A 27,221-nucleotide genomic window follows, 5' to 3' on the forward strand; every position below is an offset into this window, starting at 1 on the left:
GAGAAATTTTCCCAAGACAGCAAAGAATTCGGTCTGAGTGAGAGGATGATAACTTCAAATATTAATCCTTTCTGCACCACAATCCCCTTCAGCAGTTTGATGAGGATGTCAAAGGAAGCATTATATTAAAAATTGTTTATAAAATACTTTAGAGATTGGAATAAGTAACTTGTGTGTTTGTTTATTAATTCATAAAATATTAATATCTAGCAGCAGATCAAGTAATTAACCTTCATATAGTGATGAGCACAGATTTTTAACTATAAAATTATATAAAAATCTGCTTTTTATTCACTGTAGATTTATAGTTACTACTAATACTATTGTGGTTCATTATCTGCATTTATAATAAAAAATAAATATTAAATTTTCAGTTAGAGGTTAATTAAAAAACGGACATTATTATTTTCCTACTCAAGTCCATGGACCCCTGAGGATGGACCCCAGGTTCAGAAGAAGGGCTTGTACATCACTTTGAGGCAGTGCATATCAGTCAGGATAGTCTAGGTCAGTGGTTCTCAAAGTCTAATCCCTGGACCAATAATATCAGTATCATCTGGGAACTTATCAGGAATATAAATTCTCAGTTCCAATCCGAGTGTTACTGAACCAGAAACTCTGGGAGCAGGACCAAGTAATGTATGTTTTCATAAGCTCTCCAGGTGATTCTGATACATGCTCAAGTTTTAGAAGCACTAAGCTAAATTATACTTTTGTAAACAAACAATTAAAAAAAACAGCCTCAAATCTCAGTAGTGTAAAATACATGGTTTATTTTCCATTTGATCTTCATTTTCATCACAGATAGTATGGACTTATTCTGCTCCATGTCTCCTCAATCCAGGAACCTGGTTGACAGAACAGCCATCATCTCCAACATTACTAGTACTATACCAGGATAGAAAGAGAGCTGGAGAGTCTCACATTGGTGATTCTTGGTGCAGAAGTGATGCATATCGCTTCTACTAACATCTAATTGGCCAGAGCTAGTCCCATGGTTCCAGCCAGTAACTACAAGGAGAGGAAGGGCCTGGAAGCCAGGGAGCTAATGATGACTAACACACTATCAAGATACAGCAAGATCTCAGAGAAGATGGTCTGCTAATATCCCTAGGGAGACTATTACAGTCGCACTTATGATTCCCTTGCTTGCAGCAGGCACAGAAACAGCAGAATCACAGCCATGAAGGATCAGCTGAGACAGTGGGTGAACTAGTGTGGCCCAATGTGTTCCATGCAATCTGTGACGGAGGTAGACCAATGTAAACCAAAGACTGGGAGGGTCAAGGAAGGGGGCACTTCCTTTTGCTTTAGAGATACTTAAGATCCTGGGATTTTTGCACCATTCTGGGCACGGGAGGAAAGCACAAAAGTGATTGAGATTGAATTTCCTGCCACAGGACGCTCAGTGTTAGATTTAAGTTGATTCAGAGAAATGTGATATTTCTGACACACTTCAACACGGGGAGAAAAGTTCATATCCACTAGAGCTGTTATCTGTGTAAAGTGCACTAGTTCAGCACTTAACATGGGGCAGTTTAGAGGAGGATTTCATAAATGCTTGGAAGATGATAAACTCTTCATATACTTTAACACTAAATTGACATATTGACTTAGAAAAGCCTGAGACCTATAATTTTTGTAAATTCATATTGGGGATTCAATTAATGGAGAAATATGAGTCGTTGGTAGTTAGTCACTTTTTGTGATTGTGACAGTTAATTCATTTTTATCTATTAGAAAATTTTACAGGCATTCAGCTAGTATTTTTCTGTTATATAATTTTCCCTGCCTGCCTTGCTTTCATCTCAAAATAAAGAGAAGGTATTAGCCACGTAGTGATGAGAAAGTAGTCATAGTAAAAATTGAAATAATACAGTCTTGGGAAAATGTCTGGCTCATGTGGTGAAGGTTTTATTACTTCACACTTTTGGAAATATTTACTGGAGTCTTAGCCACTATGACACCATAAATGTGTATTTGATGAAGATCAAAATCTACCTCTGAAGTGCACATTTGTATTGAATGACTCTGATGTTTGTTTCAGTTGCATTGTAATGTGTATTAGATGATTAAACCCCTCTTCCTTGGGGGAAAGGTTTATGGTAGAAAAATTTATATGGTCACCATATGTGTGTGTGTGTGTGTGCACACGCGTGTGTGTGTGTGTCTTCATTGCATGTCAGAGAGTGAGGCCAAACATATGTTTCACCTTCTCACTATGAAATATGGACATTTTAATTTCTGCCCACTTGTGGCCCTGTTTTTTTCCCCATTCTTACCATGTATGTGTATTGCTCAGGAAAACTGATTTATGGGATTAATTAATGTACTTTTAACTGGGTTCAAATGTACTGTCTCATCTCTGACTTTTGTATGTTTGACTTTTGTCTTCTGATTATAATTCCATGCTAGAAATTTGCTTATAGTCGTCCTTAAGCAATAGCCACCAAAAGTTCTTATGGAGACTCCTGGAAATATGCTTCTGTTGTTTGCTATAAATTACATTTCACAATATTGTAGTAAAATATAATTTTAGGAAAGTGGTACAATTGCATGAACATCAAGTATCTACACTTATTAACACCAAACATTTTTCTCAAATGTATTTTTGAGGTTTATTGCCTAGATAATAAATCTATACATGGAGTATTCCTTTAAACATAAATCCCAAAACCATTTTGCTTTGCAAATAAATCAATCAAGCGTGTGACTCAGATACAATAAAAATATATGGAGGGAAATATTATATGTGATAAATAGTAAAAATTTTGCTTACTAATGAAGAAATTTCATGAGACAATTTGCAGCCCACATATTGTAGTTTTGATCAAAAAGCTTTATACGAAATCCAGAATCCTTTAAATCACAGCATGGACCATAGAAATGTGTTTTATTTAAGAGACTTTAATTCAAGACTGTTGTTTTAAATCATGATTGCATCTTTATGTTTCATTCAACTCACATGTTAAGCTGTGTGTGTGAGTGTGTGTGTGAGTGTGGGCGTGTGTGCTTGTAAGTGCATGTGTGTGCATGTGTATGTGTAAATTACATGATGCATCTGGGCACTCATTGCAGTATGTCACTTAAAAACTTTAAAAAAATGTTTGGAGTTAATTTTGTTCCAAGATAATTTTATGTGCCATTAGTTCATCTCATCGTCTTATATAACAAGGAACCAACTGATGCAGGTTTTACCTTTTTAGCTAAAGAATTAGGAGATGGCCGGGCGCGGTGGCTCACGCCTGTAATCCCAGCACTTTGGGAGGCCGAGGCGGGTGGATCATGAGGTCGGGAGATCGAGACCATCCTGGCTAACAAGGTGAAACCCCGTCTCTACTAAAAATACAAAAAATTAGCCGGGCGCGGTGGCGGGCGCCTGTAGTCCCAGCTACTCGGGAGGCTGAGGCAGGAGAATGGCGTGAACCCGGGAAGCGGAGCTTGCAGTGAGCCGAGATTGCGCCACTGCAGTCCGCAGTCCGGCCTGGGCGACAGAGCGAGACTCCGTCTCAAAAAAAAAAAAAAAAAAAAAAAAAGAATTAGGAGATGTTTAAATGTTATATCCTGTTTTCCTTGACAACTATAATTTTGCTTGGGAGATGATTACCAGAATGACTGCTAAATTACTATTTTTCTATTGGTCTAATATTTTATTCTTATGAAAAATGTTATTTCTAGTGGTCTTTATTGAAGACCAGTTGATGAGGGTCCTCCTAAGTCAGGGGAAAGAGTGTATACGTTTCATGTAAAATATCCTTCCTCTTTGTAACCCAAACCTTTGTATAGCTTGGTTTCTCTTTCTTAGTCTATGTTGACAGCAGTACAAATAGCATAATAGATTCTTCTCTGTATATTTAGAGGGTTTTTTTCCATAAACTTATGTGATACTTTGCTTTTACTGTGTAGGAATGATGAAAACACACAACAGACCCACCACCACCTCCAAAATTGCTGCTGCCATTAATCAACTCAGTGCATGACAGAAATTATGAACAAGTTTCACAATTTTCTCTTTTCTTCTTTGACTTTTGAATAACTGGTAGAGTTTTATTCTATGTTTCATGTCACGGGAGAAAGGAACCACAAAAATATAACTAATATGAGATAAAGCAATATTTGGGTTCTGACTCCAGCAATACCCTTGAAGTCAAATAGGAGCATGTGTGGTAGAAAAAAGACGTGTTCTCCCCCTAAAACTCTGACTTGCTTGTCACTGTCTCAGCAGTGACTTGCAATTGCAAATCATTGCCTGAATAATTAAGCAGCATTTCTGTGGCCTGTGACGCTGAGAAGTGAATGCTAAATATGTAGTCACTGAGCTTTCATTTGCTTACTGTGCCAAAAGCCAGTGACCCAGGAATCACAAGTGACTACTGTCTAGCTGCTGGCTGTATGCTGTATGGATTTTTGTGCTACAAATCATCATCAAGTGTAGACTACTTAAAGGAGCTCCTGTGAAATTACCAAAGAAATAAAATAAGTTAGTATAGTCATCAAGGAGAAATATAGCATATATTATACTGAAGGAAGAGAAAGACCCTCTCATATTATTTTATATTGTTTTATACTCAGTACCTGTTTTAAGAAAAAACAACAAGGAAGTAAAACCAAAGACAGGCAGTCCGGCGCCAGGCCCGAAACCAGGCCTGGGCCTGCCTGGCCTAAACCCAGCAGTTAAAAATCAACTCATGACTTAGAAACCGATGTTATTCATAGATTCCAGACATCGTATAGAAGAACATTGTGAAACTCCCTGCCCTGTTCTGTTTCTCTCTGACCACTGGTGCATGCAGCCCCTGTCACATACCCCTTGCTTGCTCAAATCAATCACGACCCTTTCATGTAAAATCTTTAGTGTTGTGAGCCCTTAAAAGGGACAGAAATTGTGCATTCAGGGAGCTCGGATTTTAAGGCAGTAGCTTGACGATGCTCCCAGCTGAATAAAGCCCTTCCTTCTACAACTTGGTGTCTGAGAGGTTTTGTCTGTGGCTCATCCTGCTACAATACATTGAAGCGTTACATCCAAGATGTCAATCTTTTCCCTGTATATTTAAAATCTCTGCAGAGAAACTGTCATTTTTTAATTATAGCAAGTGCATAATGTTTTCCTTTTAGTTAATGCAGAGTGAAATATGTGAATGTGCAACAAAATTGCTATATCATCTAAATGTCTGTTCTAAGCACTGGGGATAAATCAGTGAACAAAGCAGGCAAACTTTCAACTCTTACATCATTAGTAAAAGGGTTAAGGTCACAGATGATTCACAAGAAAATGTATCATTGATAAGTCGTCTGAAGAAAACACAAAATTGGGTGATGGAGAGAGTTGACAAATTGAAGTTGGGTGATCAAGGAAGGTCTTTCTGAAAGGGAATTGTGAGTTGAGACCAGCATGACAAAAAGCCAGATGTGAAATTTTAGGGAAGATGGATTTCAAGCAGAAAAATCTTCTTGTACAAACTCATACAACTGCTTCTTTGTTGTTTTTTTAAGGGACAGAGTCTCCCTCTGTTGCTCAGGCAGTGACACAATCAAGGTTCACTGCAGCCTCAAACTCCTGGACTCAAGGGATCCTCCTGTCTCAGCTTGCCAAGTAGCTAGGAAGACAGGCAACTGCCACCACGCCTGGCTTGAAGTTGGTGCAATTTCTCAGAACAGAAAGGAAAGTGTGAACAGAACAGAGAGAGGGAGGAGGAGCATAGAGATGAAGCCAGTGAAGTAGGCAGGGGCCAGGTTATATGGGATCTTGCAGAGTATGGTGAGTGGTTTAGAATCTCCTCTCAGTGGGATGAGAAGCCAATGGAGTGACGGACACGATCTGAATTATGTTTTTTAAAAGCACTTTGCTCTTCGTTTGCAGAATGGAATGAGTGAGAGGAAAGAGTGGAAGCAGGAGAAGGAAGCCACAGTGGTATCCAAAAGAGGAAAAGTGGGTTAGCCTAGGGTGATAGCCAGAGCACTCTTTTAGGAGTCTCCCAATGATCCTTGTTCTGAAATGCCTCCTGCCTCTGCAGAACAAAATCCTTTCCATGTAAATAGTTCGTGTTTTAATGCAAATGGGAAGGATGGTGTACTTCCTCCACATCTGTTTCCTGTTGCAGGGCTTGGGACTGTCAGTGCTTTTTCTCCACATGGAGGTTATTTTGAAACATCCAGGTGGTTTTGATCAAATCATGTATTCTTAGAATATTATTCTTAAGCTTCAATAATAACCCTACAGATAGAAAGATTAACATAAACTGACTAAAGAAATGTTAACTGCCAGGAGATTAAGGCAATATCTCAATTCATAATCTATAGTACTTTGGGGTTAAGCTTTGACTTGCAGGATGTAATTTACTGACCAGTAACAAAGACTCCACCTAGCTGGAACCTCATTCCAGAAATGTTTCTTTTGATAAGATTCTTAGATACTGAAACATCATTTTTAAAAAGCTGTGCTTTGGGAAATCAATTTGGGGGATTGTATCAGGAATTACAGGCAGCAATAGCTTCATAAATGTGCAACCCATGCAGCTTCCCAGGGCCTGTGCTTAGCAAGGCTTCACACTTGGTTTAATGCTGTGCCTTCATTGTCTTGAATTCCTAATAATTTTTTAACAAGGGGCCTCACAGTTTTCTTTTGTACCAGGCACCACAAATTATGTAGCCAGTCCAGAATTCAGGGCTCAAAACACTCTATGAAAATCTGTTCGTCTGCTATAAGATATAGAAAGATAGAGACAGGAAAGGAGCAGACTTGAATAAAGGAATTCTCAGAAAAGCAAATTCATCAATTATAAAATTTGAGACTTTTTAGTCTAGTGGTTCTCAGGTGCCTGTTTACAGTCCATGCCCACCAGATTTTTACCTCTCCATAGCAAAATCACAAGAATGATGATGCCATTGGGTTCTTATTTTTTAGCTAAATGTATTCAACTCAAATGTCTGCTCTTTATTCTGAGATTAGATTCACCTATAATTTTTGCTGTAAAAATATTTTCGTTTTATATAATAACATGTTGGCAATAGGTAGAAGCTTTTTCTTTGTATTTAAAGTACCTTCTGTAAAAGAAAACTTGACCATCTCATTTCAGCTCAATGCTTCTTGGCAGAAAAGAAGAAGTCCTTTATCCCACTCCTGTACCTTTACCTGTTTTTTCTAATCCCAGGCTCACTTTTCTCTTATTGTAATTATTCTCAATACCAATGCCTCACCATTCACAAATAACTAAACTCAGTTTTGTACAACTGAGTAAAAGGTAATCAGAAACAAATCCACACGAATATTAGAACTTCTGGCAAGGCAAAATTGAAATTGGGGAAGGATTACCCTCTTGCAACCAAACTACTTATCTTTTTTTATAGTTTTATTTTATAAATCCATCCTTTTTATGCCCCAAAGGATAGCAACATTTTTCTTTTCATCTTTGTGTCTCCAGCATTTAGCACAGGGCATTGTACTCAATAATCCTTCAATGAATATGTAGAAACTAAATAAATATAAATAAATAAAAATTTTAAACTAGAAATGGAAGGATGTCTCTCTTCCATTTACACCTTCTTTGGCAGTTTCAACCCTTCCTTAGCCAGAGAACAATAATGACCGTAAGAAATGTTAATAAAGATACACTACATCTGTAACAGGAAGTTAAAATTAGACATTTTCTCTATTTCAGCTAAAACTGAGAAGGTACCTTTTACTCCCTCATTTCAAAATGAGGCATGAGCCCACCAAATAAAGCCTTGAAAAGCTGGTAGACAGGGACTGATTTCATGACCCTTGGCTGACCGCCCAATACAACAGTGTGGAGATTAGAGCAAGGTTTTCAGAGAGGGCTGTTGTTGATGTTCTGGGAATCCTGTCCTATCCCAACCCTTAAGGGTAAGGGGTGAGGGATGCCTTTACCTTATCCCAAATAGGTAAGAGCCTTCATTGAAACAAACCAAAGAGCTTGGGGGAAACAATGGCTTAGACTTTGAGTCAAATACGAGAAATGAAAAGGGGGAGAGACTACAGCTGCTTGGAGACCTGACAAGGGGATGTAAAGAGCTGCCATCCGGTGAGTATGCTGAAACCTGCGGGGCAAAGAATGTTTCGTGTTGGCAAGATGTGGCCTTACAAGAGAGAACTGGCCTGAAAGAGTCTTGGATCTTGTCCAGAACTGTCCTGCAAGAATCTTAGTTCTCTTCTACCTGGGGGAGGGAGGTAATGCGAGCAGAAAGAACATGGAGGTCTACTGTCAGAGCCCTGGGAAGGAGCTATGAGTGACCAGTGGGAAGAGCTGCTTTCAGTCACAAAGAGCAAACTACAGATATCTCTCTAGTGAGGAGAAGACAAAGAACTCCTAAAATATCCCACCCAACAAGAGAGAGTCAGCTTTAAACACCTAACAAAATACAAAGAGCTGATGCCAGCAAGTAAGATCCCTGGAATCTAGTACAGTGCTTTGAACATAGAAGGGACTCAACAGATGTTGGGGAACACAAAGACCTGTTCCCTCGTTGGGCTAATGTTGCAGGAATGATTCTCAGCTTTGTACACATGAAGGAATTATGAGGTTCAGGTTAAGTGCCTCACTTCAAAATTTAATTTTTAGTCCAGACCAGTGTTGTTTTAATTTTACTACACTCACAGTTAAGAGGAGTCCAGAGGAGCACCCTTGAAACTATAGTGCTAATATCAAGTTTGTGATGTAGAGCAACTAAGTGTTTCTGAGAGGGCTTCAAGGCATCCTTTCCTGTGCTGTTTTTACGTTCCAGGTTATTAAGCTTATCTTAGGTGAAGTCAAGCTTTAAGTGGTAGTTACTATGTGCCTGGCAGAATACAGGGCACTGAAGGCTCAAATGAGAATAAGACAATCCCTGACCTCAAGTGGCTGATAGCAAATGGATTAAAGGCAATTGTTTATCATTTACTTAATGTATAGCACGAGCTCAAGAAATCTTACATTTCTATAGTTACATTACTGTCACTATAACATTAATAGTTGAACTAGGCTTCCCAACAGATGTAAAAGCCTTCTAATCTAGAGATAAATAAAGATTGTACTTTTTGTTATCATCAGATTTTATTATTCTTTGATGATGATTGACTAAATATACTAATGAGGATTGAAAAATATACTGCTTTAAATAGTTATGTCATAATTTCTATCAGTCATGCAATTAGAAGTACATATATGGATACATATTTTTTCTATTGCCCCTTTTTTCCTGGCTTTGTTAATGTATAATATATTGCTTTTCTGCATTCACTCTCCATTTGATTTTTCTCCTAATGTAATTTACCACCTGCAGAAGTATGAGGCCTGGAAAATGCAGGTGTGAAATGCTCATTAGCACAATACCAATAAATCAACACATGTTTAAAAGAATCTTCTACCTAACCCTATTTCTTAAACTGTGTATTCAGTCATAATTTTCAGATTTAAAAATTGGTCCAGGTTATAGATCAGGAGATAGCTGTATTTTTACATAACTATTAGGAATGCTGTGGTTTTCTAACCAGAGAAATATGACAGTAATTTCTTGCGAAAGATTTGGGACATTGTGACTGAGCCAAACTAAGAATGAAAGAAGATGGAGAAAATAAACATAACCACATGTCCTATAAGTCTTCTGTATGAAGACAGGTGTGAAGCCTATGAGGAGGGGGTCATTGATTCATGAACTGATTGATTCACTCATTTATTAATTCATATAGTATATGTTTTTGGTGTGCATATAATTGCAAAGCACTGTATTGGATACATAAAAGAAATCTACTTCCTTTTGAAGTGACTTCTAAAAGACACTCCCCATCAGAGTGTCTAATGAAATGAGAGAGACAGAACAAAGTGGACATGAACAAATCTGTTGGTAGACTTTATGATAAACACCATGAGAAGCAAATGAGCAGAATGCAGTGCTAAAGAGTAACCTGGGGTGAAGTGGGAGCTAGGGAAGGAGGATGAGAGACAACCTACTTAAAATTGTAGGGATGGTCTTTCAGAGGAGACTTAAAAAATAAGAAGCAATCAGCAATTCAAAGAGCATTCCAGGTGGAGGTAAGAGCATATGCAAAGGCCCTCTGGACAGAAAGAGATTCACATATTTGGGAATCTTGAAGGATATCAAGGCAACTAGGACATGGGCAAGAAAAGTGGCCCAAGACTATCAGGGCACTATGGACCATTGAAAGATGCTTAGAAATTCATCCAACCACAGTGGAAAGCCATTCAGTTCTTTAAAGTCAGAGAACAACCCATTTGCTTGATGTTTAAAAATGCTTGCTCTGGTTGCTATAGCAGAGTAGGTAGTAGGGGACCAAGGTCTAACCAGAGAGAGCAGCATGGAGGCTTTGGTAACAGTCGAGAGAAATGATGACTAGGAAATGAAGAAACTTAAGATATAATTTGGAGGTATAATAGAAAGGGTTTATTGATGAATCAGAGTTGGAAAGTGTTACAAAGGAAAGGATGAAATATCCTTCAAGGTTTCTGTCATGAGCGACTGTGTAGGTGCCTGCTGGTGCCATTTCCAGAGATTGGGAAGACAAGGAGGAAAGTCAGGGTCAAGTTTAGAAATCAAGAATTTGTTTTGGACATGTTAAGTATAAAATGTGTTGCATGTAATGGATAATGCCAAGTAGCTAGCTGAATATTTAAGTTCCAAGTGTTGAGGAAAACTTTGGAGGTAAAAACAGAGAGTTTTGGCCAGGCGCGGTGGCTCACGCCTGTAATCTCAGCACTTTGGGAGGCCAAGGTGGGCGGATCACGAGGTCAGGAGATCCAGACAATCCTGGCTAACATGGTGAAACCCCGTCTCTACTAAAAATACAAAAAATTAGCCGGGTGTGGTGGCGGGCACCTGTAGTCCCAGCTACTCGGGAGGCTGAGGCAGGAGAATGTTGTGAACCCAGGAGGCGGAGCTTGCAGTGAGCCTATCACGCCGCAGCCCTCCAGCCTGGGTGACAGAGCGAGACTCCATCTCAAAAAGAAAAAAAGAGTCTTCAGGATATAAATGTTTAATCCCAAAGAAATAGACTACAATATCTAGGGAAAGAGTGAAAATAGAGCAGAGGGAGGCCCAACTGGACCAAGTGGATTAGGCCCCTGGATATTCCAAAATACTTAGGGATTGAATCAAAATTACAAAATATTTAGAGGTCGAATAGAAAATGAGGACTTGGGTCAGGTGTGGTGGTTTATGCCTCTAATCCCAACAAGTTAGGAGGCTGAGATGGAAGGATTGCTTGAGCTCAGGAATTCAAGACCAAGCTGGGCAACATAATGAGACCCTGTGTCTTCCAGAAAAAAAAAAAAGTTGGGCACAGTGGTGTGCCCCTGTAGTCCCAGGTCCTTGGGAGGCTGAGGTGGGAAGATCCCTTAAGCCTAGGAGTTCAGAGGCTGCAGTGAGCTATAACAGCTGCCCTCCAGCCTAGGAGACACAGTGAGAGCCTGTCTCTTAAAAAAAGAAAAGAAAAAGAGGCTTATTCAAGGAATAGTGAAAAAGGGAATATTTGGAGAATTATGTCAGGGAATCTATGAAAGTAGAATGTTTCAAGATAGAGGGAGTGGTTAAAAAAAGTTGAGTATTTATATGTGCCAGTGTGTATCATGCTGAATACTTTATCTGGATGGTGTTATATTATCCCTCCTATAGACTATTGAGTTGAGTACTGTTATTAGATCCATTTTACAAATGAGGAAACTATGGAGAGATTAAGTAATTTGCCCAAGATCCCATAATAAGAAGGCAAGTGTCGAATGCCAGGCATTCTAACTTCAGAGTCCATAGTCTTAACCCTTGTGCTATTCTCTTCCACAAATACACCCAGCAGGTAAAAGACTGAGAAAAATAAATATCAAAAAGTACCTTTTGAAATTGACTACATGAAGTTACGAAAACCTGAGTTGTTTTGTGAAAGCGGTGAGTACAAAGCAGTATTTTGGAGAGGGTTGTGCAGGGAATCGGAGATGAAGCTGTGTGCTGAAAAGGAGAGAAGAAATTAGAGGAAGGGAATGGTGGCCTTACAGAGAAACAGACTTGAAGTGATGTGAAGTGTTTGCGCTGGGTGAATGCTGGCAGGAATAAGTGAGCAGGGAGCGAGTGAACAGGATAAGAGAGATCACTTCGGAGTAAAGCCTTGAAAAGGGAGTGTAGGAGGAAGTTTTTCTCCCTTTCCTGCATCCCTTCCTTTGTGCGTAAAATAGAAATGTTCTTCCTTTCTGAAGGATTTCAAAGAGAATGTTGGCTTTTCTTTCATTCTCCCTGACTCATGCCTCCCCAGAGGAAGAAAAGTGACTTCTGAGGCTGTGAAAAGGAAGGACTCTGGCTGCATGACCCAGCCTCCTCTGGCTTCTTCTTTTGGGACCTGATGGCCCTCAGCATGTCCATCTTAACTCCTGCTCCCCCTGGGGCAATCTCACCAGGACACTGCTTCTCCAAGTGCCAGCTTGGGGTGGGGTCCTTGCCCCCTGTGTCTATTTCTCAATTAGTTCAGGACTTACAGAAGGAAGAGAGTGGTTAGTACATTAAAACCCCCAGTATAAAGAGGGAATGCAATTAGGTTTAGAGAACATGTGGAGAGATTGGCTTTGGCAAGAAGAGGATCATGTTCTCTTCTGTAATAGAAAGAAAAGTTTTAAAATAATGGGGAAAGATAATGTTTATAGAGTCACTGCTGAGAAGAAGAAAAGTGATTTCTGTAATGTAATTTTTAACATTTTATAATTTTTTTTCTGAATAAAGTCTGAAATCCAACTTGGTTGTATTGGGAGCACTACATAGCTTTCATGTGTGAAGCCACTATCATCTAAGCAGAAGAAAACTAGAACAGATACACCTAGTGATTCTCAAACTGAGGAAGAGGATGTGGCATGCCCTGTCTAGGGTAGCTAATCCGAATTTCGATAGGGCAGCTTTCAAAAGAAATCATTTCAATCAACAATGTAATCAGTAATGCAATCGTACATTTTTAAAAACCACAAAATGTCATTTTTACTTAAAACATTTATAATGACTTAAGGATGTTTTATATTCATCAATAGGATGATTTAGTTTGAAGAAGTCAAGAAACAATGGGTTACCCAGAGTGTTTTCCACCCAATTCCTGAATTAAAATGTAGCTAAGAATCATATTTTCTGTACCTTCTTTTCCTGTCTTTTGTGTCTTCTTTTGGGGAAAGTTAAGAGGGTAGATCGTTGGACTACATTGTCATTTTAACTATAAACCACTGGACTTTGGCCCAGATTATTATTACCTGCAGAAGCTATCTTGATTAAGTTTGGAGTTGCCTTATGTTGTGCATAAGCAAAACTACATTTTAATCAGCTTGTCCATATGATTTATAGAGATAGTTTGTAATAGGCCTTGTTAAAAATAGGTATCTTTAATCAGCAATATTGGATAAAAGCCTAAAGTCTTAAAATAGTCATATTTATTCTGATTCCTTCTTCCTAAAATGAATAAACAGAAAGAAATCGATGTGGCAATAGCGTGTTACAAATCACTCCATCAAAGGTAATGAAATTAAATTTCATCTCTGTGAGTTACTGCAAAAGACTGTTTAACATTTACAAGAATTTGACTTCCAAATCCTTCAAGCCCTAATCTTTGGATTTACATAATGTGTTCCTACTTTCAGCCTTTTCCAGTTGAAAGACTTTGAAGTTCCAAGGCAAAAACTGAAATAAATTGGAAATTTGTGTAATTTCAAAGTGAATGCTTGTGATATAGTGACATAATCAGAAAGCACATGAGGGAAAACCCATACAAATTTTGCTACTATTAACTCAGTGTTTGAAACTTTATAGTAGAAAGATGATATGCAAAATTCTTAAAGATTGCTCCAAGGAAACATGCTACATATTTCTAATCAATAAAATTAAAATATCTGATCACTAGTTTGTTGAAAGCGTTAGATCCTGGACTTAAATCTAGATCTTTGATTTTAGAGCCCTTGCCCTGTTTTGTCCCCCAGGGCACTATAGAAAATTTTTGCATGATGATATCAATTTATCAAAACTGCAGAGTGTTTATTTAGAAATTATAAAATGACTTAGTGAATAAAAAATTGAGGTATTATTTGGATTTATCTTAGTATTAATGGTGGAGAAGAAACTGTTTCTTTTATCTAAGCTCCAACAAACATTCTTTATTTTTTCTTTAATCAGAGTCTCGCTCTGTCGCCCAGGCTGGAGTGCAGTGGCGAGATCTCAGCTCACTGAGCCTCTGCCTCCTGGATTCAAGCAATTCTCCTTCCTTAGCCTCCCTGAGTAGCTGGCACTACAGGTGCACACCACCACGCCCCGCTAATTTTTATATTTTTAGTAGAGATGGGATTTCACCATGTTGGCCATGCTGGTTGCGAACTCCTGACCTCAAGTGATCTGCCCACCTCAGCCTCCCAAAGTTCTGGAATTACAGGAGTAAGCCACTGCACCCAGCCCCAACACATATTCTTATAATGGGATAGGGAGGAGGCTATGTTATGTGGATGCATTAATTTAATCATTATATCCACTACCAAATATCAAGTCTTTTTTTTAGTTTATTTTCATAGGTTTTTATATGTAGACATGCTTTCTTCTTTGTGGTTTTTCCCCTGTAATGAAACCATTCATTCATTCAACAATTTATTTCCTAAGTGCCTACTCTATGACTAGCTCTGTGCTAAATCCTAGGAATGAAATGATGAACAGACTAGAATTTCCATGAATGTAGTAATTAAGTTGATCTGGTGGTGTGCACTTCTAATAGAAAATGCTTCTCTCATATTACCTCTTTCTCTGAACTGATGCAAGAATTGGAATATAAACAAACCAGCTGGCAAACTTAGATGATTTAGATGTCCTTTTCATTAAAGGTCAGTAAGAAATGCTAACGTTTTATGTTAGCATTTATTAAACTCTGAAGAGGCAGAATTAGTTTGGGGTTTAATTTCTAGTATTCATAGCATAAAATTAGGTATAATAGCAGTGAATCTATGTATGCTTCTATATAATTATTATTATTCTTTATACTGGCCTAGCCCTTCACAGAGTTAAATTCAACTACATTTAATGAGAGAATTTCTTGTTTTTTTGTTAGAATTTCTAGCAAACCATTTCTGCATGTCATTGCACCTGTGGCTTAATTCTTACATTTTCTGTTCTCTGAATTTCCAAGATAGAAAAGCATAAATTTCTTAGAGTGAATACAGGGTTAGAAACACATCTTGTTATAACAAACTATCTAGTTTCAGCATCCCATTAACTGTTCCAACACCAATTTGAATTCCCAAAGGATACTTCTGTTGAAGCATTTTTGCTTTGGTTTGGAATTGCAAAAGTAGATTGAGTAATTCCCGATTCCACGTTAATGAGACTTTCTGTCTTAATCCTCCTGTTTAAGGGCACAAAGAATAGTATGGCCACTGCAATTACTGAGTGGGCTAGAATTGGAATATTCTATACCCCCAAGGGATTGTTTTCTTCTTTTAAAGCATAAGTTTCCAATCTATCATTTCTTCTGTGGTTGAGTTTCTGAACATGCTTGGGTTTTGCTGATTTTATGGTTTGTTTTTAGCTGCTGATTTTTAGTCAGACTGTATAGGAGGGGTAACAAAAACCCTTAATTTTGCAATGTGAAAATTCTTTATGCATTTGCTCCCGAAAGCTTATTTTTGAGTAACTTGAGACTTTTGCAGCAGCCACAGTATCCAACTTGGAAAACCTGCATTCTCAGCAGCTTTCCTACTTTAAATAATATTCTTACATTAGCTCTTTTAGGAAGCAAAGAGACAGCTTCCCTAACAGTAACAAGATGTGCAAACCACAGATGGTCTTCTTGCTGGAAATTACTGGAAAGGACTACGAGTGTTCGGCCTTTGGGGCACAGTCATTCACATGCATTCATACACCTCACACACACATACACACACACTCTCTCTCATACACACACACACACACTTGTGTGAATATACAAATGAATAAGGCAAAGTGAGAATGTGTATAGCTACTACTAGTATATAGATTTCTGTGGAATTTTATACACTGCTTTAATAGAAATGAACATATTTTATGTTTACAATAGCTTTCTTAGGTAGAGCAGGCAGATATAGCATGAATACCATTATTGTAGATAAGACTTAGATAGTCCAGGTCCTTGCCCAAGTGTAAGAGCTGAAGTTTATCTATTTCTCCTAATTCCAGAATGTGGCCTTTGGTTCAAAATGCCCTGGTTGTATTTCAGCTTTTCTACTTTCTAGTTCCATTACTTTCTTAAAGCCTCAGTTGATACCTCTACCAATAGGACATATGCTACCTACCTCATAAGCTTGTTGTGATCAGTAAATGAAATATTGCGTGTATAACATGTGGCCTTTTACCTGATACATTATAAATGCTCAATGAATGTTCATGTTTGCTTTTTCAAAGCAAACATTTATACGATACTTATGCCAAATCTAAGTACTTTTTCAAATATTAGTCTAATCTTCATGTCAATTTTATGACAGATATTGTTAATATTCCCATTTTACAGATGAGAAAATGGAGGCAAGGAAAGGTTAAGAAAATTGCCCAATTGCCCAAGGTCACACAGCTGGTAAATGCCACATTATGGATTCAATTCCAGATAATCCAGTCCCCATGTCCATAGTCTTAAATGCTATTCTGTTATTCTCAATGTACACAGTGGGATATATGGAAATGTGAGTTGTATATGCTAATTTTATACTGCTTTAAATTCCTAAGGCCTAGGGAATATTCCCATATGCTATAGTGGGTTTTCTCAACTGTTGCTACTATTACCACCAATATCTTAGGACTATAATAAGTGGATAGAAGAAGATCTGTTTTTTTTTCCAGACAACTACAGAACTCAGGAACATATCCAACTAGTTATAATCCAGGCACAATTTGAATTCCACTTGATGGGAGAGGTGATTCCAGTGAAGAACTCAATTAAATAAAAACACTTTTTTATGCGTTTCAGTCATATCATGATGTAGTTTAGGCTCAAGGTAGAGTTGTATCATGTAGTATTTAGACCAGATTACAAAACTATTAAGAGATGCAGAGCATGATAGACGAGGAAAGATGAAAAGCATTGCTTGGTTATGACGTGAGGGGATGATGATAGAAGGGTGGAGATAGTAGGAAAGAGAAAACCCCACAGATGTGAGAGGAAAAGGGAAGATAAGACAAAAAAAGTAAGACAAGTGATAAATAATGGTTTATAAGGGCTAAAAGTGAAGAAGCTTGAAGAAAGATTTGCTACAAAGAAAGCTATTGAAATAAAGAATTGACCCAGATGTTGGGAGAAACCCTCCACAGTGAGCAGTATAAAGCCACATTCAGTCACTGTTGGCGTTTGCCCTGGGCTTTGGGATGTACGTTCATTCATTTAAGCCAAAAAGTGCATTTATCCTACTCAAAAAGTGATTTAGAAAATGAGTGTAAGATTTCCTATGCTTCTAGTAAAATAGAAATAAATTATGCAAGAGTAAAATTAGCTAATTACTGTAAGAATCATTCTGTTAAAATTAGTGAGTTTTGGATATTTTCTGCCAGTTCTTTTTTTCACTAGTTTCTGTGACTTCAGATTTCATTATCAACCTACCAGGCCTTTCCTGCTCCTTGGAGAGCTGGTTGAAATGGGATTGAACCCTATTTTCACAGAGTAGGAAAGTCAAGATCCCTCCTCAAATTGCATTACCACTTCTTGTCCTTACTTTTTCATGGTTCTCTGGTTTCCATCTATGCTCCTGAGTTTGCTGTCTCAGGTCAAACCTGCGTGGATTTATACACACACACACACACACACACTCAGGTGATCTATCTGATGGGTTTAGTTGTTTTCTGAAAGATTTGGGGATTGTCGTGAAAGAAATACCACATTGCATACCACATAAGGGACTTGTATTCAGTTAGTTCTCTTGTTATCCTTCACTCCTCCCTCAAAACCCACACTCCAGAATGAGTCAAGCCTCCTTCAAAATGCAGTGCAGTCCCTGCAGGTTCAGTGTTTATCGAAAGTGGTACAGGAGGAAAGAAGCCTGAGAAGCGGATATAATTTCCTCAGCATCCCTGGGAATTGTGCAGAACACAATTATAGCATCTTACATACTCTTACAAAATGATTGGAACTTGCATTTATAGAGAGCTTCCTGTGTAGATGCTGTGCTAGGCACTTTCACATATGGTGTTTATTGATTCTTAGAACCTTTCTGGGTATATTTTATACCCGTTTTATAGATGAGGAGAGTGAGTCTCAGAAAAGCACCCAGCATTGTTACCATGCTGAAGGAAGGCATTGGAATACATGTGCAGAGGAATAAGATTGTTCTTTTCTTCTCAAAAGCAGAAGGACAAGAAAAAGCAAAAATTAAGACAAACCAGTCTGCTTATAGGAGCCATGCCAAGAGAGATGTCTTCTTTTCCTTATTTCCTAGTCTCTGTCTAAGGCTTCAGCACCCATTTTCCTTTGGGAATGCAAAGCACATTCAACAAAGAACCTCGCAGTGCCTATTAAGAGCTTATTTTTGTCTTCATTTTTAATGTTTCATTTATTATCAAATAGGGTACTTTATCTCGTGCACACCTATATGTTCCATTATGCCATATTTACATTTGTTTAACGCATTTAATTAAGAACATTGTTAAAAATTTAAAAAGACTTCCCCTTTCACGAAATTTGGAAATTGAAGGTAGCATTTAACGGGTTTCCTTGTCAACCACAATACTCATTTTTAGAATTGTTAGCCAGTAATTCAATTACCCACACAGTTCTGCTTTCTAAGAATGTGCAAATGGAAGTCTTGTCTTATGCAAGCCAGAAAACCTACTAGCAGTATTCTAAACTTAGAACAAAAACGTGATGCCCTTCGAGTCTTGGTTGGGAAGAGTGTTTGGTGAGGAGGGGGAGAAAGAAGAAGGGGAATAATAGTGTCATTTTCTGTTTGTCTTTGGCCATCTGGAGCTCAGTGCCACGTCCTTTGCTCATTCTACGGAGAATATAAAAAGGGCAATGAGATGCTTATATATTTTGTAGTGCTGGCAGAGCATCATTTGTTATAATATCTATCCCTTTATCAAATATAAGCCATCATATAAGCCAATATGAGACTTTAGATCAATTCTAAAATGGGCCAATGTAAAATACAAACAGTTTCTGGTGATAAAATAATCTGCTATGTGAATTGAAGGTAAAACATTTATAAAATGTAAATAATTGTTAATAATGATAATTATTGCTGAGAACAAAAGAGCAGCTGGCTTTTTGTATAATTTCACACCTTTCCTTTAAATATTTACTCCTCTGAAACTGCCTTCCCCCAAAATAACTTACTTTATATTGAAACTTAAATTTAATTTTGAAATAAAATTTATAGGATCAACTATAGAATATTGACATTTTGTATGTCAAAAATGGTTGAATATTAGGGATTTCATCAGGTTCAACATAATACTGTTAGTGCAGTCTAAGTCTTGGCGTGTGTAAGTGTGCTCTCCTGGAAAGCCATGCTGGTCCAAATAAACTTTGTTGCCTTGGTGATCTATAGCTTATTTATCTTCTTTTTTATTAGTTGAAAAATAAAAATTATATATATTTATAGGGTACAAAATGATGTTTTGAAATATGTATATGCTGTGCAATGGCTTAATCTAATTAACATATGCATTACCTCACATATTTATTTTTTGTGGTGACAACGCTGAAAACCTACTCTCAGCAGTTTTCGAAATACACTACATTGGTATTTACCATAGTCACCCATGTTGTATAGCAGATCTCTTGAACTTATTTCTCCTGATAAAATTTTATATCCTTTGATCAACATTATACCCATCTAAATTCCTTATATCCTTCATTCTACTCTGCTTCTACAAGTTAAACTATTTTAGATTCCATATAAGTCACATTGTGTGGTATTTGTCTTTCTGTGCCTGGCTTATTTCATTTAATGTGTTCCAGGTTCATTCATGTTGTAAATGACAAGATATTTTTTTCAAGTTCAGTAGTATTCCGTTGTGTATACATGCAAGTTGTTTCTTAAACTGCTTTTTTTATTATTAATCTTAATGCCTTCTTAGGTGCGTATAGTACTTCTGTAGCTTTTAGCTCTAGTCTGAAAACACCTAAGATAAGAATGGTGTTATTGGGAGGAACAAGGCATTAGGAAAAAGTAGATAAAGCTATACAGTGTAAATCCATGTTTCCTCAAGTATATGACAACATAGGTGATTTTTGGTTACTACTCCTTGAAGGACTCCATTCAGCTTGCTTAACTGTGAGATACAGCTTTCACCCTAATTTCCACAAAGCAGCTCAGAGTGATTCTTTTACCATGTGATGACTGCTTTGCTCAAATCCTCTCTTGGCCTCATTTAAGAACCTTGAAGCTCTATATGATTTGGCCTCACTCCCCTGCCCTCAGGACCATCTTGTTTAACTTCATCTCCAGCTTCTCACTCCCTCTTTTTCTCTGTTCCAGCCATTGTGCCCTCCCTGCTCCACTAACATCACATACAAGTCTATTTCTGAAATGCTGCTCCCTCATAACTGCTCCCTCAGTTATGATCATAGCTCATTCCTTCAGTCTCTTCTCAAAAGTCCAATGGTCTATGAGCCCTACTTGGCTGTCCCATATATAGCAGTACAAATGCATACCTTCATTCCCTATCTCTTTTACTGTGCTTGATTTTAATCCACTGCACTTTTTGCCACCTAATTTGTTATATATTGGCTTGTTTACTTATCACCTGTCTCCCTCCATAAGAATAAGGGCTCTAGGACTACAGTTGTTTTGCCTGTGTTGTTCACTGTGTATCCCTGGTGCCCAGAACAGTGTAGGGTGGAGAGTAGCCATTCCAGGAATGAATGAACAGTTCATTTCAGCTCATGAGAAGTAGGGCGCTGGATAGGGAGAACAGCCATTCCCAGTGGAAAAAAAGGGTTGTTCATTAAATGTCACTCTACTCTGTCAGTTTCTAGGAGTCTGGAATGAAAAGAGCTTCACTCTATTTATTTTTATTACCACCTTTTTGTGGCAAGTAGTCATTGGCACCATATATAATCTTCATTGTAAATGAATACAGTAGTACCACCTTATCCACAGTTTGGTTTTCTGCAGTTTCAGTTAACTGCAATATAGTACAATATGATATTTTAAGAGAGAGAAAGAGAGAGACCTCATTCATGTAACTTTTATTACAGTATATTGTTATAGTTGTTCTGTGTTATTATTGTTAATCTCTTACTGTGCCTAATTTATAAATTAAACTTTATCATATTTATGCATGCATTGAAAAAAACATGGTATGTACTGTATAGGGCTTGTTACTATCTGTGGTTTCAAGCATCCACTGGAAGTTTTGAAATATATCCCCTGCAGATAAGAAGTGATTACTGTATGGTAAAAGTCAATTTCTCATGAAAATGTTTTATTGAAAGTATAACATATACCCAGAAAAATCCAAAAATCGTAGATGGTTAAATGTTCACAAAGTAAATACATCCTGGTACCCAGTGCCCAGATCAGGAAACAAAACATTACCAGAATCCCATAAACCCCTTCATGTTGTTGTCAATGTAATAACTCCCCAATGTTTAGCCTACCATTTTACTATCATAGATAGTACTGCTTGTGTTTGGACTTAATATACGTAGAATCATAGGGCATGCCCTCTTTTATATCTGGATTCTTTGCTCAAAACTATTTTTATGAAAATCATTCATGTTGCTGCTAATAGTCATAGTTCATGCATTTCCATTGCTGTATAAAATTCCATTCTACCATTGATAGACATTTGAGGTTTTTTTCAATTTTTGTGTATTACAAATCCTGCTGAGATTAACATCCTTGAATGCATCTTTTGGTTAACACATAAAAATACATGCCTTGAACTTCATTCAAAAATATATTGCCAGACATTTTTCCAAAGTAATGTTACCAGTGTGCACCACCACCAGCAGGGCAGAATTCCAATCGCTTCTCATCACTGCACTTTGTATCATGTCTTTTACATTTTAGCCACTGTGGTGGGTGTGGTGTGAGTGCAATGTAGTTATAATTTGTATTCCTCAGGACTACTGCTGTTGAACACTTAAAAATGTACTTGTTGCCAATCTGAGTTACGTGAATCTATTTTCATGGATATTAAGATAATATAGGTCGTATATGGATAAGGTAGAAATCATATAGGTCATAATTTAATGACTAAAATTTAGTAGACATTGCTTTCATTAATGACTCTTTTAGTACTTGATAGATTGTATTATCTTCACAAAGCTTTTGCTGTGGAAAATTCAGTTCAATAGAAGCTAATTGTGGGTTAATTATGAATAACCCTCCATGCTGAATGGTGTGAGGCTACCAAGGTCCACGTCATGGGAAGCTTCCCAGATGTCACGTTGAAGCTATGTCTAACAAGCATGAACAGGGTCTGCAAGCAAGGCAGAAAAGGGAAGCCAACGTACTAGAAAAGCCTAAATCATATTTGAAGGTATGAAGAAGTATGAAACTTTTAGGAAATTGCAAGTGTTCAGAAAATAAAGAAAATTGCCACCATCTTGTTTATAGGGAATGAAAGACTTGAAAAATGACACTTAACATCAGCCTGCAGAAGTACCAAGGGCCAATAGTAAATTGGACTTAGGGTTTAATTACATTAGTTGTGTAGCTTGAAATGTTTGAAGTTAACTCACCATCATTTACAATGATTTGTATGCCAAAGGAAATATGCATGAGCAGGGAAATATTTCCTGGATAGCTTTTTGCTTTCCATGTTAGGCCTTATGTCAGCTATCTAAAATGTAGAAGTGAGCAACACATTTATTGTTACTGAGAATGCATAGTAAAATAACATGAATTCTATCATTTTTACAGCTAAGATGCTGTATAGATTAAGCAGAAAAACACTGGCAGCCTCTGATTAAAAAATAATGATTTTATTATTCTTTTTGGAGTTAACATTTATTTTTAACTAATGTTTCACTGTATTAAAAAATTCCTTTCAGAACTAAATACTATAGTCAAATACATTATCTTTGACACTATATTTTAATTGGTTATTGAAAAAATAAAAGCTCTTTATCACCTTATATTTTAATGCAATCTTTCAAAATGATTAGGCAGAAGATATTTTTCCTTCTAGTTTCAAAAATATTTGTAGAATTTTTCTTAAAATACTGTAGGGAATGTCTATCATTTCTGAATAGATGTGGTTCTATCTCAAGGTTAAATATAACTCAATTGTTGAAAAAAAATTATAAACATGGAACAAATGTGTCTCTAGAATCAGGATTCATAGCATGTGGTCTTCTTTACTTGTAGGCTGAAGAAAAAGTCCCAGTCGGTGGATATTAATGCTCCAGGGTTCAACCCTTTGGCTGGTGCAGGAAAGCAAACACCACAAGCCAGTAAGCCCCCGGCACCCAAGACCCCCATCATTGAAGAAGAGCAGAACAATGCAGCAAATACTCAGAAACATCCTTCCAGAAGGAGCGAACTGAAGAGGTTCTACACAATTGGTGAGCACCAGATGTTTTATGCAAGTGAATAGATGAAATCTACCTAAATGGCATTGAGAATTTCTGGGTCTGTTTAGTTAAGTGGCTCCTTGTTATAAAACATGTAAATCTTTCTGATGGTTTATTTGGACATTTTCTTATGTGGTCTGAACATAAAGATGGAAAACTACTGAAAAACTTTCAGCAAAGTTAAATAAAAGCAGGCTTGAGGACCTTCTATATCCTAACCTAGGGGAAGTAAATATACATATACGTACATATACGTACACATATACTATCTCTCTCTCTCTTAGGTTTTTCAATTTTTAACTTTGTGTGCTATTTTCATTTTAGCCATTGTTCAGCCAGCACCTTTCTTGTTTTTTGTTTTTGTTATTTTCATTTTCCCTTCAGGCTCCCAGGTCTCTGAACCTGTTCCGTCAGGTTGTTAAGACTGTGGTTGACGTTAGCCTGTAACTAACAAAGCCAGTAAGAAAGTAACGTTATTACATTCTGAGAGAGGACAGATTACATTGTGGGTCTATTTTGACCTTGCACCTTGCTTTACTTTGGAAAAATTGAATGACATCCAGGCCCTTCATAGGGAAGAGTAATAGGATATGGCTTGGGTTGTGCAGGCATTACATTATTTCCCCCAGATATAATGATATCCTGTAATTTTTGTATTTTAACATTTAATCAGACAGTTGTAGGCAATCAGTCCAAACCAATCAAATTACCAACTTTAGTGTACCATATTAGCCCAGCATGTCTTTGGCCTTGCTTTTTAATGAACAATAGCAGCTTTTAGTGTCTTCAGTCTATCTGAGACAAAAGTTACTAAACATCTAGTATATGGGAAAGAATGGTGTGTAGGGGAGACAAATCCACCCAAAAAGAGTGTGGCTGCTTTGGCCTTGCTTGTTACTTCAATTTGGAGAGATTTGGTCACATCCAAAAGCTGTAATAGTAGAGACTGTGGCTTAATGGGTTAACCAGTGTTACATCAAAGAGGGCCTGTTTTCTTTAAAATTTACCATCCTCACCACTCCAGTATGAGACTGTTTGCTTTAAGATGATTGAAATCTTTTTCTTTGATTTTTTAGTAGCCATTCCTAGAAATGATCATCAGGAGACCAGATTTCTAGTTCTATTGAAATCTTTTTCTTTGATTTTTTAGTAGCCATTCCTAGAAATGATCATCAGGAGACCAGATTTCTAGTTCTAATTCCTACAACAATTTCCTGTGTGACTCTGTCAAGTCATTTTCCAATGTCTTTGGGTTAAATTCCTTCCTTCAAGCTGAAGAAATGCCTCCATGTAGGTTTAGCCTTATTTCAGAATTTGGCTGCTAAAACCATGCTTTCTCTTTCCACCATTTTATGTCCTCTTCTTATATATTCATTCTCAGGCTTCCTTTTTCCAGATGGTCAAGTCTTATTTTCTAAAAGGCAACAAGTATGGTGTCAATGAGACTGTCCATAGTCAGGTAATGAGAATTAATAAAAGTGTAGACAGGCACATATTTCCATTTTTAAAACCTATGCTAGCACAGTTCCTCAAATCAATTGACTAGAAAATCTCACAAAGTCTACATAACTCTCTCCAATTACCACTATCCTTCTCTCCTCTGCAACATGTCTGTCGCCTTCTATTGCTTTTCTAATTAGCGAAAAAGACACAATTAGTATTTTTTCCTTCAGCAAATAAAGCTTATCCTACAAACTCAATGTTCCTTAAAAATTAGAAAAAAAGGGAGAGATACTGACCAACTTGGCCACCATGACTAATGGGCTAAGCCTAGAAAATAGAAGTCTCAAAAGGGGTGGATTGCAAAAAGATGAACGATGAGTTATTTTAAATAATACCACCACTCATGAATTCTTCACTATTGAATTGGTAACAATTTGATTCATAATCAATGGGAGTGGCATGTCTATTGTGTTAAAAGAGACATCTGAACTGTTAAATATACTCTATCTATATAACCCTTTTAGTAATTTGGACCTGGAAACATTATTTTCAAGGCTAACATATTAGCAACCGTATAATCACCGGTATTGAAAGTTCCCTTTACAAAACAAATGTACTTCTATGTCTCTTAGTAAAAGTATTAGTAATAAACAATAAAAATTTTCATTTATTGATAATTTCATATGCCAGGGGCAATTTAAGCTCCTGGGTTTTATCCTCAATTCACCCTCACAACAGCTTGGACAGGTAAGTGTTACACCCTATTTTTATAGATGAGGATAGAGCCATAGATCATTTAAAGATGGGGTCATGAGCTGTAGAGAGCAGGCTCTGCAAATTAAATCTATGTTCTCTTGTGACCCGTCAGAATCAGGCTTTCTCTGACTCTCAAAGGTTGCCATCCCTGCGCTATAATAAGCTGGAGGAGTGTTGTTGTTTGAGACGGAGTCTTGCTCTGTTGCCCAGGCTGGAGTTCAGTGGTGCGATCTCGGCTCACTGCAACCTCCACCTCCAGGGTTCAAGCGATTCTCCTGCCTCAGCCTCCCGAGTAGCTGGGACTACAGGCACATGCCACTATGCCCTGCTAATTTTTTGTATTTTTGGTAGAAACGGGGTTTCACTGCGTTAGCCAGGATGGTCTCGATCTCCTGACCTCAAGATCTGCCCACCTCAGCCTCCCAAAGTGCTGGGGTTACAGGCATGAGCCACTACTCCCGGCCAGCTGGAAGAGATTTTATGGATAATATAGTGGAGTGATATTTTTACCACAAGTCCCAGAGAATCTCAGTGAAGGAAGCCTTGCCAACGAACGAACCCGTCTACAAGCCAATATGCTCATTCATTGAAAGATATTTTTCAATATCTCAGTTTAGAGTTTATACTCCTGGAAAACTCTAGGAGCCCTCTTGTGGCCAAGTAAGTGCATTTAAATTTAGCAATGAAGTTTCATACTATAGTTACTATATACATTCAAGCAATAATTTTAGGGCTTAAAGGATTTTCAAATAAAAAATAATAACTAGAAAAATGTTACAGCCATTGAAGTGTCTTTTAGTGGCTGCAGTGGCTTTTCTAGAATTATTTTCCTAGAAGTACAGTTATTCTTTAGTATTCAGGGAGTAGAGGGGATTGGTTCCAGAACCCTCACAGATACCAAAAATCTGCAAAGCCCAAGTTCCTGATATAAAATGGCATAATATATGCATATAACCTATGCACATGCTCCTGTATACTGGAAATCATCTCTAGGTTACTTATAATATCTAATACAATGTAAAAGTTATAGAAATAGTTGTTATACTGTATTTTTAGTCAGTATTGTTTTATATTGTTGCATTGTTACTGTTTATTGTTTTTACTCTGGAATATTTTCAATCAGTGGTTAGTTGAGTCCATAGATGCAGAGCCTACAGATATGGAGGGATGGCTGTATAATAAAATTCCATTGATTTAGAATAAGTAGGGGAAAGCTAGTCACTATTGATGTGAAATAAATGAATCTTCAGATAAAAGGAAAGTAATCACCATGTCAGGCTGTGGTTCAGGAAAGAGCATTTTCTGCCCTGCTTCCATCACTAACTGTGTAATCTGGCACAAGTTATTTACCATCATTTTACCTTAATACTTACATGTGTACAATGAAAGAGAGAAACCAAATCTTGTCTTTCAGAGTTGTTTTTCTTCTTACTCTCTTTTTATGATCACAACTGACCATAGAAAGTACTGTATAAGTTTTCTATTGCTGTGAAACAAAATACCACAACGTTAGCAGTTTAAAATAACACCG

General features: G+C 37.4%; 1 protein-coding gene and 1 long non-coding RNA gene across 7 annotated transcripts in view, besides 1 other annotated feature; one reads left to right on the forward strand and one right to left on the reverse strand.

Annotated features, from left to right (window-relative positions):
* The window catches only part of OXR1 (oxidation resistance 1), a 482,517-nt gene that overhangs the window by 225,480 nt on the left and 229,816 nt on the right, over positions 1-27,221 (forward strand). For all 5 annotated transcript variants that reach the window (XR_001745547.2, NM_018002.3, NM_001198533.2 and 2 more), the window contains one exon: positions 23,286-23,482. Coding sequence is in view for 4 of the 5 variants with exons in the window: in NM_018002.3 (NP_060472.2) it covers positions 23,286-23,482 (197 nt within the window). In the remaining variant the exon portion in view is untranslated. The remainder of the gene's footprint in view (positions 1-23,285; positions 23,483-27,221) is intronic.
* Positions 4,164-4,213: an enhancer, noted in NCBI's record as "active region_27799". NCBI's record gives its function as "activates an Ori minimal core promoter by ATAC-STARR-seq in GM12878 lymphoblastoid cells {active_cell/tissue: GM12878}" and the evidence as "EXISTENCE:reporter gene assay evidence [ECO:0000049][PMID:35858748]".
* Positions 21,377-27,221, reverse strand: part of OXR1-AS1 (OXR1 antisense RNA 1) — a 140,687-nt gene continuing 134,842 nt past the window's right edge. For both annotated transcript variants that reach the window (XR_007061059.1, XR_007061055.1), the window contains 2 exons: positions 27,064-27,176; positions 21,377-24,905 (listed from right to left, as the gene is read on the reverse strand). This is a non-coding gene — a long non-coding RNA (OXR1 antisense RNA 1). The remainder of the gene's footprint in view (positions 24,906-27,063; positions 27,177-27,221) is intronic.

This window comes from Homo sapiens, chromosome 8 (genome assembly GCF_000001405.40).
Source record: "Homo sapiens chromosome 8, GRCh38.p14 Primary Assembly".
NCBI lineage: Eukaryota > Metazoa > Chordata > Mammalia > Primates > Hominidae > Homo > Homo sapiens.